The sequence below is a fragment of the Homo sapiens genome, chromosome 19, assembly GCF_000001405.40.
Source record: "Homo sapiens chromosome 19, GRCh38.p14 Primary Assembly".
Lineage (NCBI taxonomy): Eukaryota > Metazoa > Chordata > Mammalia > Primates > Hominidae > Homo > Homo sapiens.
Window position 1 is genome coordinate 55,069,521 of NC_000019.10, and position 18,814 is coordinate 55,088,334.

At 57.7% G+C, this 18,814-nt stretch overlaps 1 protein-coding gene across 8 annotated transcripts, besides 2 other annotated features; it reads left to right on the forward strand.

The window, feature by feature from the left end:
• EPS8L1 (EPS8 signaling adaptor L1) lies at positions 6,349-18,403 on the forward strand. 8 transcript variants are annotated; one of them, NM_133180.3, is made up of 20 exons: positions 6,349-6,399; positions 6,888-6,941; positions 8,568-8,608; positions 9,479-9,537; positions 10,170-10,331; positions 10,609-10,758; positions 11,252-11,334; positions 11,711-11,972; positions 12,253-12,379; positions 12,572-12,660; positions 12,755-12,829; positions 12,934-13,082; positions 13,858-13,999; positions 14,096-14,124; positions 16,321-16,453; positions 16,541-16,672; positions 16,872-16,998; positions 17,194-17,368; positions 17,783-17,915; positions 18,008-18,403. In NM_133180.3, the coding sequence occupies exons 2-20, from the start codon at positions 6,925-6,927 to the stop codon at positions 18,092-18,094; spliced, it is 2,172 nt and encodes a 723-aa protein (NP_573441.2). In that variant the 5' UTR covers positions 6,349-6,399; positions 6,888-6,924; the 3' UTR covers positions 18,095-18,403. The 8 variants fall into 8 exon arrangements, with proteins under 8 accessions (NP_573441.2, XP_047294978.1, XP_005259077.1 ...); XM_047439022.1 differs by having other exon boundaries at positions 6,349-6,941; XM_005259020.3 differs by having other exon boundaries at positions 13,858-14,124.
• Positions 6,803-7,528: an enhancer, noted in NCBI's record as "H3K4me1 hESC enhancer chr19:55587691-55588416 (GRCh37/hg19 assembly coordinates)". NCBI's record gives its function as "activates a minimal SCP1, AML or CMV promoter by ChIP-STARR-seq in primed H9 embryonic stem cells {active_cell/tissue: H9 hESC(primed)}" and the evidence as "EXISTENCE:reporter gene assay evidence [ECO:0000049][PMID:30033119]".
• Positions 10,777-11,734: an enhancer, noted in NCBI's record as "H3K27ac-H3K4me1 hESC enhancer chr19:55591665-55592622 (GRCh37/hg19 assembly coordinates)". NCBI's record gives its function as "activates a minimal SCP1, AML or CMV promoter by ChIP-STARR-seq in naive H9 embryonic stem cells {active_cell/tissue: H9 hESC(naive)}" and the evidence as "EXISTENCE:reporter gene assay evidence [ECO:0000049][PMID:30033119]".
• Positions 18,404-18,814: the final 411 nt, after the last annotated feature.

Here is an 18,814-nt window from a genome sequence, read left to right on the forward strand (position 1 = left end):
ACCATCAACGTGACTGTCTCACACCTCACTTCCTCCGGCCAGCCACACCCCTGCAGATTTAACCCGCCAGCCTCCCTAAGGTTTCCTCTGCCTGAAATCCTCTCTGCATTCCTGGCTCATTCTCGAAATTGAGGTCAAAGCTCAGATGCCGCCTCCTTCCCTGACCACCCTACCTGAAGCAGCCGCACCTGCCTGCTCCTAGTCACGCCGTTCCTTCACCTGTTTCGTTTCCTCCACAGGGTTTACCACAATCTGAAAGTCTTATTCATGCAGGTGTCTACTTGTTTATCTCCCCACCACACCTACTAGGATGACAATATCACAAGGGCTGGGGTTTCATCTGTCTCCTCCTCCTCTGTATCTCCAGCACATGAAACATGCTTGGCACACTGTAGGTGCTTAAGTATTTGCTACTACATCACTTTGGGATTTTGCATAGGACACTCCCAATGCTTAGAATGTCAATCTTTGCTTCATTGTCCTTGGCAAACTCCTATTCATCCTTTGAAACCCCATCCATTTATCCCTTAACCAGGAAAGGCTTCTGTGCCTCATACAACCACCCATAAAGCTGGATTAGGGCTTTCTCTGGGGACACCCTTGCCCTGTGCCACACTTCCATTAGCGCACATATCCCCCATGAATTGTGCACACCAGCAGGGTCTAGAGTACGGCACACATTTTGTCTCAGGAGCTACGTATTGAATAAATAAATTAATTACTTTTTTTGAGACAAGGTCTTGCTCTGTCACCCAGGCTGGAGTGCAGTGGTGCAATCGTGGCTCACTGTACCTTGACCTCCCAGGTTCAAGCAATCCTCCCACCTCAGCCTCCCAAGCAGCTAGGACCACAGATGCAGGCCACTATGCCTGGCTAATTTTTAATTTTTTTTTTGGTAGGGATGGAATCTCCCTATGTTGCCCAGGCTGGTTTCAAACTCCTAGGCTCAAGGGATCCTCCTGCCTCTGCTTCCCAAAGTACTGGGACTATAGGTGTGAGACGCCACACTCAGCCTCATTATTTAATATGTAAGTAGCTATATCTCTCTGAGACCCAGCCCCATCTAATTTATAACCTCCCTCCTTCTCAAGAACATGCCTCAGCTCCCATTGCCAGGGAATCTGACCTTTCTCCTTGTCATAGGATTTTTTTTTTTTTTTGAGTCAGAATCTCAGTCAGTCACCCAGCCTGGAGTGCATGGCGCAATGGCTCGCTGCAACCTCTGCCTCCCGGGTTCAAGTGATTCTCCTGCCTCAGTCTCCCTAGTAGCTGGGACTACAAGCGCACGCCACCACACCCAGCTACTTTTGTAGAGATGGGGTTTCACCATGTTGGCTAAGCTGGTCTCGAACTCCTGATCTCAAGTGATGGCCTCCCAAAATGCTGGGTAACAGGTGTGAGGCACCACATCCGGCTGTCATAGGAATTTGTCAGCAAATCCTACAGACTAGAGGATGTGTGTTGGGTGGTGTGGGGGTGGGGATAACGGAGGAGATGGGGGGTGAGCTCTTCAAGCCCCAGGGGAGAATTCTGTTCCGTTCCTGGGACATCCCAGGTGAGAGGGAAGAAAGGCCAGCCCCCCAAGACAGCTATCCCAGACTGGGACAGAGGCAAACCCTGACCACAGAGCCCTGTCACTCACCCAAGAACAGGTGCCAATGACAGAATAGCCAGGCCGAGGGGGGAGAGAGGTGCTTCGGTGATGGATTTCCCTGGTGACTTGCCAAGACAGGGCTTTACTGCCTCCGCCCTGGACTGGCTGAGTCAGACTGTGCAGGGGTGGACACTTTGACTGGTATTTGGGAGGCATTTGCTGTGGGTTACAGAGAGGGAGGGGCCTCCTTTGCGGCCAGAGAAGGAGGAAAGAGGCCCTGGGCCCTGGGACTTGGGACTTGGGTGGAGGCTCGGGTTTCGGTCTCACCTGCTGCTCCAGACCATGGCCTGGAGGGCCGCCTGCGCCACCCCCAAAGCAATGAGATAGCCCCTCCTCCCTCAGACCCAGGAGTCCAGGCCCCCAGCCCCTCCTCCCTCAGACCCAAGAGTCCAGACCCCAGCCCCTCCTCCCTCAGACCCAAAGGCCTCGGACCCATACCAAATGCTTCTATGAGATAGTTTTCTCCCCTTGTTCATGAAGAAATGAGCCCAGGCCCAGTCAGATCTGCATCTGTGTCACAGCCCAGGGCCACTGTAACCTTAGGCTACTGACTTCCCTCTCTGAGCCTCTGTTTTCTCCTGTCAATGGGGCAAGGGGTCTGCTCCTTCCCTCAAACCCCAACTCAGGTACAGTCAAGCACAGAAAATACTTGTGGCATGAATGTGATGAGAACACAGAATTGCAGAAGCCAAAGAAAGAGAAGCGTAAGGGCCCTCCTTCCACCCCTACCTCCCCCACCCGCTGCTACACGCACCAGGACCACCTGCTGGGTAGCCAGGAGCTCACAGTCTAGCCCCGCTGGCCACCCCTGCAGCCCCCATCCTTCACTCAGGCAGTTGCAGGGCCCAGAACACCCCTATCTTCTAGGATTGACACTGGCTGTCAAACTCATCCTTCAAGGTGATTCCTGGCCTGCCCTCCTCCTCCAGGCAGCCTGTCCTCCTCCTCCAGGCAGCCTGTCCTGACCCTCAGCAGCCTCTCCTGGCCTTGGCAGAGCCCCTCGTGTCCTCCCTTGCAGCACGCATGGGAAGAAAGGCCATCGTCCTCGCCATTGCTAACACCAGCCTTGCGTTTCCTCTTTGCCAGGTACTGTATTGACAACTCTCTATAACCTGACTTTATCCTCCCAATAAGCTGGGTGTGGTGGGTGGCTCATGCCTGTCATCCCAGCACTTCGGGAGGATAAGGCAGGAGTATCACATGAGCCCAGGAGTTGGAGACCAGCCTGGGCAACATAAGGAGACTCTACTATATATATGTGTATATATATTTATATATAGTCTGAGATGGGAGGATCACCCCAGTAGGTCGAGACTGCAGTGAGCTGTGATTATGACACTGCATTCTAGCCTGGGCCACAGAACTAGACCTTGTCTCAATTAAGAAAAAAAATGGGGATAATAGGACCCATTCCATAGGATGTGGTGAGGATTATGCATACACACACACACACACACACACACACATTTATGATGTACTGAGAAGATATAAGCACACAATAAGTATCTCCAAAATTATCAAGTGGCAAAGCCAGGATTCAGACCCACACCTGCCCGAGGCTCTCTGCCATCAGACCACACTATATCTCTTTCTCTCTGTTCCTTCATCCCCATCAATCGAAGGCAAAAATGTGCCTTCTCTGATTTCCAGGCTCACTCAGCATAGACCGTGGAGGCAACATATCTTGAATGAAGCAACAAAGCAGTAATGCACATGAATGCACCAAATGCCAAAAGCTCGTTTACTCAACAAGTATCTCTCCAACACTTTCTATGTGCTAGACCCAATTCTGTGTGCTGCAGATTAAGTGGAGGACTGATCACACAAAAATCTTTGCCCTTGTGAAGCTTGCATTTTTTTTTTTTTTTTTTTGAGATGGAGTCTTGCTCTGTCACCCAGGCTGGAGTGCAGTGGAGCAATCTTGGCTCACTGCAATCTCCACCTCCCGGGTTCACGCCATTCTCCTGCCTCAGCCTCCGGAGTAGGTGGGACTACAGGCACCCACCACCAAGCCTGGTTAATTGTTTTGTATTTTTAGTAGAGACGGGGTTTCACCATGTTAGCCAGGATGGTCTCAATCTCCTGACCTCGTGATCCACACGCCTCGGCCTCCCAAAGTGCTGGGATTACAGGCGTGAGCCACCACACCCGGCCGCTTTTTTTTTTTTTAAGATGGAGTCTCGCTCTGTCACCCAGGCTGGAGTGCAGTGGCACGATCATCTCGGTTCACTGCAACCTCCACCTCCCAGGTTCAAGTGACTCTCTTGCCTTGGTCTCCCAAGAAGCTGGGATTACAGGTGTGCACCACCAACTCTGGCTAATTTTTTTTTTTTTAGTAGAAATGGGGTTTTATCATGTTGGTGACATGGTGTGATCTCGGCTGACTGCAACCTCCACCTCCGGGGTTCAAGCAATTTTCTTGTCTCAGCCTCCCAAGAAGCTGGGATTACAGGTGTACACCACCACCCCCGGCTAATTTTCATATTTTCAGTAGAGACGTGCTTTCACCATGTTGGCCAGGTTGGTCTCGAACTCCCAACCTCAAGTGATCAATCCGCCTCAGCCTCCCAAAGTGCTGGGATTACAGGCATGTGCCACCGTGCCCAGCCTGTGAAGCTTGCATTCTAACGGAGGAGACACAGACAAAATGAACCAGGAACACAGTGGGTAAGAAGGTGAAAAGTTCTCCACACAAAAATGAAGTAGGGAGAGAGGAAAGAGACTACAAAGAAGTTGGGTTGCCGGGGGCGGTGGCTCACACCCATAATCCCAGCACTTTGGGAGGCCGAGGCGGGCAGATCACGAGGTCAAGAGATCGAGACCATCCTGGCCAACATGGTGAAATGCTGTCTCTACTAAAAGTACAAAATTAGCCGGGCGTGGTGGCGCGCGCCTGTAGTCCCAGCTACTCAGGAGGCTGAGGCAGGAGAATCACTTGAACCTGGGGGGGCGGAGGTTGCGGTGAGCCAAGATTGCGCCACTGCACTCCAGCCTGGGCAACAAGAGTGAAACTCTGTCTCAAAAAAAACAAAAGAAGTCGAGTAAGGGATGCCGCCATTTGAAACAGGGTGGTCAGCCAGTCCTCTGAGAAGGTGACATTCAGGCAAAGATCAAAGGAGGCAAGAAAGTGAGGCATGAGGGTATCTGGTAGAAGAGCATTCCAGGCAGAGGAAACAGCAAGTGCAAAGGCCCTGAGGCAGGACCGGGTCTGGATGTTCCAAGAGCAGCAAGGAGGCCAGTGTGCTGACACACAGAAGGAAGAGATGAGATCAGAATCACGTCCCTTAAGGCCTTGCAAGATGTCAGCTTTTTTTTTTTCTTCTTTTTTGAGACAGAGTCTCGCTCTGTCGCCCAGGCTGGAGTGCAATGGCGCAATCTCGGCTCACTGCAAGCTCCGCCTTCCAGGTTCACGCCATTCTCCTGCCTCAGCCTCCCGAGTAGCTGGGACTACAGGTGCCCACCACCACGCCCGGCTAATTGTTTGTATTTTTAGTAGAGACGGGGTTTCACCGTGTTAGCCAGGATGGTCTCGATCTCCTGACCTCGTGTTCCACCCGCCTCGGCCTCCCAAAGTGCTGGGATTACAGGTGTGAGCCACTGCGCCCGGCCTGTTTTCTGTTTTTTGAGATGGAGCCTCGCTCTCTTGCCTAGGCTGGAGTGCAGTGGTGCAATTATCGGCTCGCCGCAACCTCTGCCTCCCGGGTTCAAGTGATTTTCCTGCCTCAGCCTCCTGAGTAGCTGGGATTACAGGCACCCGCCACCACACCTGGATAATTTTTGTGTTTTTAGTACAGATGGGGTTTCACCATGTTGGCTGGGCTGGTCTCGAACTCCTGTCCTCAGGTGATCTGCCTGCCTCGGCCTCCCAAAGTGCTGGGATTAGAGATGTGAGCCACTGTACCCATGCAAGTTTCTTAACCCTTCTCTTCCTCATTTTCTCATCTGTGAGACGAAGACAGCCTCCCACCCAGACACACTCCCCTCACGGGGCTCTGGGGAGAAATGATGTGGAAAGCTTTGCTAGTAACCTCTACAGCATGGAGGGAGTTCTGGAAAAGTGATTTCAGAAAGGTGTTTATGCCTGGAAAGCCTGTTCATTTTTGTGATGTCCTTGGAGCTGGGCCAGGCATTATCGAGCTAAATCTTAGCTTTTGTCAGAATAGGGGGGTCATTGAGGGAAATTTCCAAAGGAAGGTGGAACGGGATGGGTGGGGAGGTAAGGGCATGAGCAGAGGCAGTGATCGTGGGCAGGAGGTGTCCATAGAAGACGGGCTGCCACTGGCCCTGGAGACAGAAGGTCAGCCCCGGGTTCAAATCCCTCCTTAACCAAGTGCTGAAATGGACAAGTTGCTCAACCTCTCTGGCCTTCAGCTTCCTCATCTGTCAAGCAGGAATCAAACCTCGAACTTCCTCCCGCTGTTAGAATTTCAAGGGAGTTTTAAAGACAGAGCTTTCAACTCTGACCTGTGAACAAGTGTGACATCAAATGTACTGTTCGTTGCTATTATTCTGTTGCTACAAGGCAGACAGTTAGTTTCCCAGCTCCCCTGCAGTCCCCCCAGCCCCTCCTAGATCTGTCTGCCAGCCCCGCCCCGGGGTCACTCCAGCCAGGCTGTGCCAGGTGAATGCTCAGGTATGCGGAGGCGGAGGCGGAGGCAGGACGGCCCTGGGAGGGAGCAGGAGGAGGGGCCGGCAGCCTGGAAGGGAAAGGACAGCGGAGAGCAGGGCAGAGCCTGAGCAGGCAGGTAAGGAGATCCGGGTCAGGAGAGAAGGGGGCCGGGGCTTGACCAATGGGTCTGAGGGACGGGGGGACTGGGGTCTGGACTCCAGGGTCTCAGGGAGGACGGGCTGGGGGTCTGAACTCCCGGGTCTGAGGGAGGAGGGCCTGGGGTCCTGGACTCCTAGGTCTGAGGGAGGAGGGGCTGAGGGCCTGGACTCCTGGGTCTGAGGGAGGAGGAGATGGGGCCTGGACTCCTGGGTCTGAGGGAGGAGTGGACTGGGGTCTGGACTCCTGGGTCTGAGGGAGGAGGGGACTGGGGTCTGGACTCCTGGGTCTAGGGAAGAGGGACTGGGGCCTGGACTTCTGGGTCTGAGGGAGGAGGGGCTGGGGGCCTGGACTCCTGGGCCTGAGGGAGGAGGGGCTGGGGCCTGGATGCCTGCATTGAGGGAGGAGGCTGGGGTAGGAATTAGAGGCTCCTACTGGCCAGGCCTTCACATGTTTGCTGGCTCCCAGGGCACCTCCAGGTGGGCAGGAGCTACCACTCAGCACCATGAGCACCGCCACAGGGTAAGCGCCCCCGGACCCCAGGTCCCAGCCCCAGCACGCCTCCCGCCTCCCCTCGCCTCCTCACCCACACCCGCTTGCGGCAGCCCAGACTGTTTGCGGCGGCCCAGACTCTGGCCCAAGCCCCGACACTCAGGAGGAAGCCAGAGCCTCTCTCCTCCCTGCCCAGCCTGGGGTTAGGGGCCCCCACTGCAGAGCAGACAGGCCTGAGCTCCAGTTCGGCCCTCACACTCAGTGCTGATGTAACCCTGGTCAGAGGACATCACCTCCTGGAGCCTCAGCCCCTCCTCTGTGACACAGGGACAATGTTGAAAAATTGGAGGGATAGTGCATTACAGGACTTAGCTGACCACCTCACTGACAGCAGGTGCTCAACTCATAGGAGTCGCTATTGCGATTGTTATGTTGTTAGTAAATATTAACCCTTTGCTAGAAAATCAGGGCTGTTTATAATGAAGACTCAAGTCCCCCAGAGTAAGCAGGGAGAAAAACAATGAGAGATGAGTCAAAATACCTGCATGGTAGGTAGTGAGCTCTCTGGCCCAGAGGTAATCAAATTGTGGTGACATCAGACTGGCAGGAGCAGGATGAGGAACAGGAGTTTGGGAAAAAGGGTTTTTCAGTTCCCCTGACGCCACCTGATCGCTGAGCTTCTGTTATGTGCATGCAAGTGGGGATTCAAGAATTCTTAGGAAAGGTAATCTTAGGAAGAAATTGAGGACGGGAGGAGACAGAGAAGGATGTGGTTGGGAAGCACCTGGCCCATGGGAGTGGGAGGGGAAGCAGATAATTCCCTGTCTACTTCAGATACCACTAATGCTATTATAACCATTCCCATTTATTGAGCAACTTCTGTGTGCTAAGCCCTGGCAGCATCTTAAGAATGATAATAACAGTTATTGAGGCTTCAAAATACTTCACCTGCATCATCTGACTGAATTTGCCCAACAGCCCTACCAGATGGTTACTACGTTACAGAAAGAAAAACTGAGGCAGGAGAGATTAAATCCTCTTCTGAAGGTCTTATGGCAAGGAGGCAGTAGACAGAGGGTTTGAATCCCGGACTATGCCATGGTAGAGATCACACTCCCCTACCACCCAGCACCACCGCCTGACCTGACCTGTCTTTTTTTTTTTTTTTTTTTTTTTGAGATGGAGTCTCACTCTGCTGCCAGGCTGGAGTGCAGTGGCACGATCTGGACTCACTGCAACCTCCGCCTCCCAGGTTCAAGTGATTCTCCTGCCTCAGCCTCCCACGTAGCTGGCACTACAGGCGCCCACCACCACACCCAGCTAATTTTTGTATTTTTAGTAGAGACAGGGTTTCACCATGTTGGCCAAGATGGTCTCAATCTCTTGACTTTGTGATCCGCCCACCTCTGCCTCCCAAAGTGCTGGGATTACAGGCGTGAGCCACCGCGCCCAGCCTACCTGTCTTCTTAAAGTCCAGCTCTGGCTCTGAGCTCTCCTGCTCAATAATAATAATAATAATAATAATAATAATAATAATAATAACCCTTCCATCGCTCCCCATTACCTTCGTCATGAAGCCCTTGCTGCCCTGCTTGGCATTTCCACAGGATCTGCCCCCAGTCCCACAGTCTCTCTCATTCCTCTTTTCTTCACCAGCCCAGAAGCTGCCCCAAAGCCAAGCGCCAAGTCTATCTATGGTGAGCGGGGGGCAAGGGAGCCCCAGGCCCATAGAACTGGGTCTAAAGAAACAGGACCTGGCATCCAGGGTCTTGGAGGAGGAGGGGCTGGGGGTCTGGACTCCTGAGTCAGAGGGAAGAGGTGCTGGGGGTCTGGACTCCTGGGTCAGAGGGAAGAGGGGCTGGGGGGCTGGACTCCTAGGTTTGAGGGAGGAGGGGCTGGGGGCCTGGACTCCTGAGTCAGAGGGAAGAGGTGCTGGGGGCCTGGACTCCTGGGTCAGAGGGAAGAGGGGCTGGGGGGCTGGACTCCTGGGTCAGAGGGAAGAGGGGCTGGGGGGCTGGACTCCTGGGTCAGAGGGAAGAGGGGCTGGGGGGCTGGACTCCTGGGTCAGAGGGAAGAGGGGCTGGGGGGCTGGACTCCTGGGTCAGAGGGAAGAGGGGCTGGGGGGCTGGACTCCTGGGTCAGAGGGAAGAGGGGCTGGGGGTCTGGACTCCTGAGTCAGAGGGAAGAGGGGCTGGGGGGCTGGACTCCTGGGTCAGAGGGAAGAGGGGCTGGGGGCCTGGACTCCTGGGTCAGAGGGAAGAGGGGCTGGGGGCCTGGACTCCTGGGTCAGAGGGAAGAGGGGCTGGGGGTCTGGACTCCTGGGTCAGAGGGAGGAGGGGCTGGGGGGCTGGACTCCTGGGTCAGAGGGAAGAGGGGCTGGGGGCCTGGACTCCTGGGTTTGAGGGAGGAGGGGCTGGGGGCCTGGACTCCTGGGTCAGAGGGAAGAGGGGCTGGGGGGCTGGACTCCTAGGTTTGAGGGAGGAGGGGCTGGGGGCCTGGACTCCTGGGTCTGATGGAGGAGGGGCTGGGCCTGGACTCCCAGGCTCATTCTCTTTCTCCCCTGGCAGAGCAGAGGAAGCGTTACTCCACAGTTGTTATGGCTGATGTATCCCAGTACCCAGTCAATGTGAGTCTGGGGTCTGTGTTCCCCCAGGACATCTTCTGGGGCAAAGGTGGCCTCAGGAGATAGGGCTTTTGAAAGCAGCTAGGCCCCCAAGCAGGAAGCATGTGGAAAGTCAGTTTGCCCATCCATAAAATGGACCTCCGTTGCCTCACCTCAGTCATGGATATGAAGCCAGGGGCCTCGGGTCCACTTAATCTGCCAGCCTTTCCTCCAGGCCAGCTGTTGTGCTGGACAGTGGGACCACGGAGGCAAATCAAGACACAGCCCTGCATGAGGAAGGGGTAGACAAGGTCCAGAGGAATCCACAGAGGCGCCTGGTGCTCTAATGGAGGTGGCAGGGGGCATGGCAGGAGACCCGAGGAGGCATTTAGAAGGAGAGAGCTATAATCCAGACTCCTTCCCTGCCCGCAAGGAGCCTCCAGTCTGTGAGAAGCCAGACTCAGGTGCTAGTCACTCTGATGAAAGGGAAACAAAGGGCACTGGGAGGAGGAGCTGATTTGTGGAACAGGTGATCAAGGAAGGCTTCCTGGAGGAGGTGTGGTTAGTCTCAGGCTGAAAGTCTGATTATTCTGGGGGATTCTGAGCCCACCTGGCATCATCTTGGGCCTCACTGCTTTCTCCATGGTCCGTACCAGCACCTGGTGACGTTCTGCCTGGGTGAGGACGATGGCGTGCATACCGTGGAGGATGCCTCCAGGAAGTTGGCCGTCATGGATAGCCAGGGCCGAGTCTGGGCACAGGAGATGCTGCTGCGAGTGTCTCCCGACCATGTCACGCTGCTCGACCCGGCCTCCAAGGTGCCGGGGGGCACGTGGGTGGGAGGAGTGTCTGGGGCAGGGACTTCAGGGGGTCTGGGTGTGAATCTTGGCTCCTGCACGTCCTTCCTCTGGGAACTCTGGCGAGGGACCCCAGCCCCCTTCTTGAGCCTTAATAGCCTCATCTATTAAACAGGGCTGTTATCCCTAACCCCCTAACCGCCTGAGGTTGCCCTGACCTGCTGGCCCACACTCCCGTCGCCATTTAGTAGTACCATCATTTCGGGGCCTCAGTTTACCCCGCCATCCCACCCGGCAGGAGGAGCTGGAGTCGTACCCACTGGGCGCCATCGTGCGCTGTGACGCGGTGATGCCACCCGGCAGGAGCCGCTCGTTGCTGCTGCTCGTGTGCCAGGAACCCGAGCGCGCGCAGCCCGACGTGCACTTCTTCCAGGGCCTGCGCCTCGGGGTGAGCAGATGGGCTGGCTCTGGGGGTGGAGCTGGAACTGGGCGGAGCCTGGAGCCGGGGCGGAAATGGGTGGGGCCTCTAGGTGGGGCGGGGCCTGGGGCTAAGGCGGGATCAGAGCAAGGAAGGGCAGGGGACCTGGGAAGGAAGTTCTGGAAGGCAGTGGGGTTTGAGATTGGACCCAGGGTCAAGATAGAACATGAAGGTGGGATGAGGACATGAACAGAACATGGCCAAGAAGGATCTGGGGGAGCAGCCAGGACGAGGTGGGGGCGAGGAACCACCCGGACTGGGTCTCCATGGGCGGGGTCGTGGCTTAGGGCAGGGACAGGTGTAGGGCGAGGGGTGAGTTCGGGGCGTGGACGTGCGTGGGTTCACAGGTGTGAACGGTAGCCGCACGTGGGCTGGGACTGAGCTGAAAAATCGGCCAGGGGCGAGGCCCGGGTAGGAAGTGGGTGCGGCGTGGGGAGGCGTGGCCTGACGGTGTGATTGGCAGGCGGAGCTGATCCGAGAGGACATCCAGGGGGCTCTGCACAATTACCGCTCGGGCCGCGGGGAGCGCAGGGCGGCGGCGCTCAGGTGAGAGGGAAGAAGTTGGCAGGGTCTCTGGGAAGCCGGTTTCCCCTCCTTGTGCCTCAGTCTACAACACCAGCCTGGAACAGAACAAGAGTTTTGCATGGAGTCAAGCACACCCTAGTCGAGTCTTGTCTGTACCTCCCAGACGAGCTGACCCCTTCTCCAGAACTCTGCTTCTTTTCTCTGTTCCCTGTCCAGGCCCTCAGTTTCACTCTAGAGAGGTGCTATCCCTCCGTATATCGGATTTCTCCCTACCTCGTTGAACTTGTTCACTCCCTTTGAGCCTTTTGAGCCTGTGTGTCTCGTTCTGCGCCCTGGATTTCCCCCTCCCTGGACCCCTCAGTGGACCCAGTCTTGGTGTCCCCGTCGCCCTCCGCAGGGCCACGCAGGAGGAGTTGCAGCGCGACCGCTCGCCCGCCGCTGAGACCCCGCCCCTGCAGCGCCGCCCGTCAGTCCGCGCAGTGATCAGCACCGTAGAGCGGGGCGCGGGCCGCGGACGACCCCAGGCGAAGCCCATTCCCGAGGCAGAGGAGGCGCAGAGGCCTGAGCCGGTGGGGACCTCGAGCAACGCTGACTCGGCCTCCCCGGACCTGGGTCCCCGGGGTCCTGACCTGGCGGTTCTGCAGGCGGAGCGGGAAGTGGTGAGCCGCTAAGGAAGGGGTCTGGGGGCAGGGCCAGGCGACTGGAGGCGGGGCTAGGGCGTGGAAGGGCGGGGCCGGCTGCGGGACGGGCGTTCTCTGGTCAGACTTCTGCGTTATGGAAGAGGGGCTGGGTCGGGGGCGGGGCTTGGTTGTGGGGCGTGGCCAGGTGTTTGGGGCGTGGCCTGATCTGGGGAAGTGTATAGGTGCTCAGGTTCAGGGCTTCGACGGGGATGGTTTTGGAACTCGGGAGCCCTGAGCGTCCCCCTCCTCTGTCCCCTAGGACATCCTGAACCACGTGTTCGACGACGTAGAGAGCTTTGTATCGAGGCTGCAGAAGTCGGCGGAGGCGGCCAGGGTGCTGGAGCACCGGGAACGCGGCCGCAGGAGCCGGCGCCGGGCGGCTGGGGGTAAGGGGCACCCTGGCGTGGGATCTGAACCCCCTCCCGATCTCTTCCAAATGTCCCCGCTCTCCCCAGGCTCTCCCCTCCCGCCACTTGCCAGGGCTGACCTCACCGCCATCTTAACCGGGTGTCCACCTCTCTCTGCCTGCCTGGTGCTGGCCCCGCGTCCCCATCGCCGCGCCCGTCTGCTCCCCTCAGAGGGCTTGCTGACGCTGCGGGCCAAGCCGCCCTCGGAGGCCGAGTACACCGACGTGCTGCAGAAGATCAAGTACGCCTTCAGCCTGCTGGTGAGGACGCGCCCGCCCCTGGGCCGGGGCGCGGGCACGACGAACCTGTCCCGTCCCCGCACCCACGCCAACCACCTCCCTCCCCACGCCCCAGGCCCGGCTGCGCGGCAACATCGCCGACCCCTCCTCTCCGGAGCTGTTGCACTTCCTTTTCGGGCCTCTGCAGATGGTGAGACCCGCCCCAGGCCCTCGGGCCCCCCTGCAGCGGGAGGAATCGGGTTCGACTTGTAGAAGGTGTGGCGGCACAGCCTGCCCCTCCTGCTCCCCTGACAGATTGTGAACACGTCGGGGGGGCCGGAGTTCGCGAGCAGTGTGCGGCGGCCGCATCTGACATCGGATGCCGTGGCGCTGCTGCGGGACAACGTCACTCCACGTGAAAACGAGCTCTGGACCTCGCTGGGGGACTCGTGGACCCGCCCCGGGTGAGGGGCGGGGCTGGGAGGCAGGGGGCATGGTGATTGGAGGAGCATAAGGCGCTGGGAGGTGGGTGGCATGATGATTGGAAAATAGGACTAGGAGAGTAGGGAGGGGTTAGAGGCGTGGCTTAGTTGTGTTGGGGCGGGGCTTAGGACAGATGCCAAGATTCAATTGGAGGAAAGGCCAGGAATTAACGTGAAGGAAAGATTTAAGACCACCAGACCAATCGGATTGAAAGAAAAGGGGGGCTTAAAGGAATAGAGGGGCTAGGGGCTACGGGGCAGGGGCGGGGCTACGCGAAGGGGCGGGGCTTCTGGAAGGTTTGGTCTATAACTTTGGTGATGGGACAGAGTCTGTGCACTGCGGGCTGGCAGTTCCGCAGGGAAAGGGTCAGAACCTGAAACCGACCTTACGGAAAACCTGATTTGGAATCAGGTGAGATTTAGAGGCTGGATAAGGCAATTTTTTTCCAGAGAGAGAGATGGATGGGGTCTCAATATTTTGCCCAGGCTGGTCTGGAACTCCTGGCCTCAAGCGATCCTCCCATCTTGGCCTCCCAAAATGCTGGGATTACAGGCGTGAGCCACCGTGCCCGGTCTAGAAATATAAATTGCTGTTGAGTTGGGCTTAGAGCTACCGGCAGGACTTGGTGAAAAGTGGCGGGGCTAGAATCGTTGGAATACAGCGAGCTTTAGGGGAAAACTTAGTGAAGTTAATGCAGGAACGAAGTTGGGGGCTGTATCAGGATCCCTGAGCTCTTGGCCCTGTCCCTGGCCGCAGGCTGGAGCTGTCCCCGGAGGAGGGACCCCCATACAGACCCGAGTTCTTCAGCGGCTGGGAGCCGCCGGTCACTGACCCGCAGAGCCGCGCCTGGGAGGACCCAGTTGAGAAACAGCTACAGCACGAGCGGAGGCGCCGGCAGGTGACCCAAGCGACACAGCAGGGCCGAGGCTGGGAAGTCCGGGGGCGCGGCCGGTCCGCCTGGCCCCGCCTGACCCGACTGTCTTACTTCCTACAGCAAAGCGCCCCCCAGGTCGCTGTCAATGGGTGAGTGTCCGCCCCAGGGCAGGGCAAGGGGGTCAAGGAGGGGTGCGTCCCGGGGGCTCCCGATGCTGACTCCGCCCCCTTTTTTTCTGTGTTTTTCCTTCTGTCTTCCTGGCTCTTCTCAGGTGGGTGAGATGGTGATGGGGCGGGCCGGGGCTGGGAGAGAGGGAGGAGCAGGGTGGGAGGGGGCGGGACCCAGACTTCTGGGGCTAAGGGAGTTGGGAATGGAGACCCGGATTCCTGGGCCTAAGGGAGGAAGGGGGCTGGGAGTGGGTAAAGTCTGAGAGGTTGGATCCCTGGATCCCCAAAAGGCTGGAAGAAGCCAGTTTGTTTTCCCAGGGCCTGGGAAGCACCATGCCTGGGCTCCCTAGGAGGACAGAGCCCTGGATATTGGAGGGGAGAGGCTGGGGAATTGGACCTTTGGGTTTTGAAGAAGAGCCCAAGTCTGGTGCTTGGGATCCTGGAGACCCAGAGGAGCAGGCTTGGGACTTCAAGGGCTTGGGGGCAAGTTTCTGGGAAAGTTAGGAAGTGGTAGTATCTCTGGGCCCCCGAGAGGGGTAAAGGCTGGACGATTAAACTCTTGGTTTTCCAGAGGCTCTAATGCAATTGTCTAAGTCGCTGCTGGGTGTCGGACTGGGTTAAAAGGTTTGAGGGTTAAAAGGATAAGATTGAAGCTTGAGACCTGGACTCCTAGGTCCCTGGGGGAGGAAAGAACATTCCAAGTCATGGTTCTACCAAGCAGTGGGGGCTCAGACTCTGGGTCCTGGGGGAGGGAAGGAGGTAGATGGACTAGAACTCTAGGGTCCTTGAGCAAATAGAGGGCAGACTGGAGGGAAGCAACGTGGGAGGAGACGAAAACAAAGCAGTGAGGCTGGAGGAGACAAAGGGGGGTCTGGGTGAGGGCCCGAGCAGAGGGTCTCAGCAGGGACAGCGTGCTGGGAGCTGCCGGCCCCACACAGGGGGTGCCGCGGCCCTGAAGACCCCCCCTCTCCCCTGCACAGGTAGGCCTGATCCAGGCTGAGGTCCCTCTTATTGGGGGTCAGAGCTGAAATCCCACCCCTGCCCCCAGCTGCCTGATATCGCAACCCTGGTCCCTGTTCACAGCTTCAAGTCACTTTCTCCGAGCCTCAAGTTCTTTTTTGCAGGGAAACTGGGAATAATGATTATCCGTTCCCGGAACAGTGAGAAGTCTGTGGTGTTGTAGGAACTAGCAGTTAAGGGCTTAAGGCTGTGACCAGGTTCAAGTTCAAGTCCAGCTGCCTGCAAACTAAGGCAGCATTATTCAGACCTGGGCTACCCTGGTCCCGGGCTGGCGATGCCACTCTCTTACTCTGTGACCTTTACATCCCTGTGCCTCAGCTTCCTCCTCTGTGAAAATGGAGGAGATCATAGGGTCTCTGGGGGAGGAAGAAACTGGGGGAGAGAGGGGAGTCCAAATTCATGGTTCTACCAACCGTTGTCATAAAGATCAAATTAACTAATATACGTAACAGAACAGTGCCCAGCACACAGTAAGTGGTACAGAAGTGGTAGCTATTGTTTTTTGAGACAGTCTCACTCTGTCATCAGGCTGGAGTGCAGTGGTGAGATCTCAGCTCACTGCAACTTCTGCCTGCCAGGTTCAAGCAATTCTCCTGCCTCAGCCTCCAGAATAGCTGGGACTACAGGCGCGTGCCACCACGCCCAGCTAATTTGGGTATTTTTTAGTAGAGACAGGGTTTCACCATGTTGGCCAGGATGGTCTTGATCTCTTGACCTCATGATCTGCCCGCCTCAGCCTCCCAAAGCGCTGGGATTACAGGCGTGAGCCACCGCGCCCGGCCTAGCTAGTGTTTTTATTATGCTTATGAGTTATGATATATAAAGCCCAGTGCCTATTAGATGCTCAATAAATGACAGCTGTTTCTAGCTGTGTGATGTGGGCAAGTCATTTTCTCGCTCTGAGCCTCATTCTCCTCTGTAAAATGGAATCGATGGTGGGATAGTACCCACTACATATGCCTACAGCACAATGCCAAGCAACGGAGGGAGCAAATATATTCAGTCTGTTATTCTTGTTTCAAATTTCTATTAACAGTATTAACCCGGCCCCTGCTGTGCCCCCAGCTTGGCTCTAACCCCAGCTCACACCAGCACCCTGCAGCCCAGAGCAATGGGGCTGGCTGCCTCCTTATCTCCAACCCTCCCGCTTCTCCTCAGTCACCGAGACTTGGAGCCAGAATCTGAGCCTCAGCTGGAGTCAGAGACAGCAGGAAAATGGGTCCTGTGTAATTATGACTTCCAGGCCCGCAACAGCAGTGAGCTGTCGGTCAAGCAGCGGGACGTACTGGAGGTTAGAGGAGCGGGAGGCTGAGGGGCAGGAATTAGCCAGCCCTAGCTGCAGACAGGCTCTGAACCCTCTGTTCTTTACCACACCCAGGTCCTGGATGACAGTCGTAAGTGGTGGAAGGTTCGGGACCCAGCGGGGCAGGAGGGATATGTGCCCTACAACATCCTGACACCCTACCCCGGACCCCGGCTGCACCACAGCCAAAGCCCTGCCCGCAGCCTGGTGAGCCAGCGCAGACGCTGGGATCTTGAGGGTGGAGAGGCTGGGACCAGATCCTGGGAACAAGGGGCGTGGGGATCAGCTGTCAAGAGTGCTGGAGCAGGTGGTGACTGGGGGTTCAGAAATGCATCTCCAGAAAGGGGAGAGGCTGGGACTCTGAGTCCTCTCCCTAACCCAGGTACTCTCCTCTCCTTCCTTTCAGAACAGCACTCCTCCTCCACCACCAGCCCCAGCCCCGGCCCCACCTCCAGCTCTGGCTCGGCCCCGCTGGGACAGGCCCCGCTGGGACAGCTGCGATAGCCTCAACGGCTTGGACCCCAGCGAGAAGGGTGAGTGGTGGGGACGCCGGCTGCGGGGAGCGGTCCTTATCCTTGCTTTCCAGGCAGAGAAACGGGGGCTCAGAAAGAGCAAAGGGACTCCCGTCCCATTCTGGGGACGCTGGAGCGCCCCCCCGCCCCGCCCTCTGGCCCCAGGACCCCTCGCCCTGAGCCCGCACTCCCTACCTCCCGGTTTCCCGCCTGCAGAGAAATTCTCCCAGATGCTCATCGTCAACGAGGAACTGCAGGCGCGCCTGGCCCAGGGCCGCTCGGGACCGAGCCGCGCAGTCCCAGGGCCCCGCGCCCCGGAACCGCAGCTCAGCCCGGGCTCGGACGCCTCCGAGGTCCGCGCCTGGCTGCAGGCCAAGGGCTTTAGCTCCGGGTGAGTGGGGCCGGGGCCCTCTCGGCGCGGGTTGATACGGACGCTGGGAGCGGAGCGTTCCGATCGGCCGGGAGTCGGGGGGCGGCAGTCGTGGAGACCACAGGGAGCCGGGATTAGCCCGAAGTGAGGGTCTGTCTGGTAGCAACACCCAATGGCAGGCTGTGATTGCCATGTTTTTTCAGACTCCGACTGGATTCCTTAGGGAAATCCCGTACCCTTTGAAAGCAGGATGCGGCCACGCCCCCCGGGTGGCAACATTGTGATTGGTGGGTGGGGTTCAGGAGGTGTCGGGCCTGCCCCCGCTAGAGCTAGAATGCTGTTCTGATTGGACCATCGCCGGGTGGGCGTGACATGATTGTCCGGGCTGGGGCATCCGCCGACCGGCCTGACCGCGCCCGGGCTGCCCTCGCTCAGGACCGTGGACGCGCTGGGTGTGCTGACCGGGGCGCAGCTTTTCTCGCTGCAGAAGGAGGAGCTGCGGGCGGTGAGCCCCGAGGAGGGGGCACGTGTGTACAGCCAGGTCACCGTGCAGCGCTCGCTGCTGGAGGTGAGCCGGACCGCTGGTCCCTGGGTCTGGGTAGGGTTGGGATGACGAGGGCTCGGACGCCAGGACAAAGCGATTTCCACCCCGCCCTCCAGGACAAAGAGAAAGTGTCAGAGCTGGAGGCAGTGATGGAGAAGCAAAAGAAGAAGGTGGAAGGCGAGGTGGAAATGGAGGTCATTTGACCTGCCAGGCGCCCTTCGCAAAGAGTGACGAGGCCCCGTGGGAGAACGGACTCCTCAGACTCTCCCCAATAGCGGAAGTCGATCTTCTGAAGGATGGCCAATCTGCTCCGGCCCTGGTCTTCCCCCATCCCGGTGGACAGACTTAACGATCCTTGCTGCAGTCCCTCCGGAGAGGATCTGGACTGGCTGGGAGTGGGGAGGGCGTGGAGACAGTCTACGGAAAGCGCTAGCAGACCCCCGAGAGGGTGCAGTGGAGCCCTGAGCATTGTAATATGCGGCCCAGCCTATAAACAGCCTCCGTGCTTAGCAGATGGTGTGCCAACTGCTGTCCTCTACCCGGCTACCAGGGGGCTCAGAAACCTGCCCCTCGACCCAGTCACAGCCTCATGGAACCTGGAAAATGTTCCACCCTCTTTGGTTTCTCTCTGAACCCTCCTTTCCATCCCCAGGGTCCCAAACCAGGCTCCCTCCTGACCTCCTAGCCAGCCTAGTCCAGCTTGCCCCACCTTCACGTTTCCCTGGCTCGCGGCTGCTGGGCATGAGGCTTTGTGTCTCCCTTCCCGCCTCACCAACGTTCTCACTTCATTCCTTCCTGCGTCCTGGCCCTGCCCTTCTCCAAACGCTCCCAAGCGTTCAACCTCTGAGGTTTGCACCTGCTGTCTCTGCTGGCTGAAACGGCCATTCCCTGCCTGGCGAACTCCTGTTCAGCCTCCCTGGCCC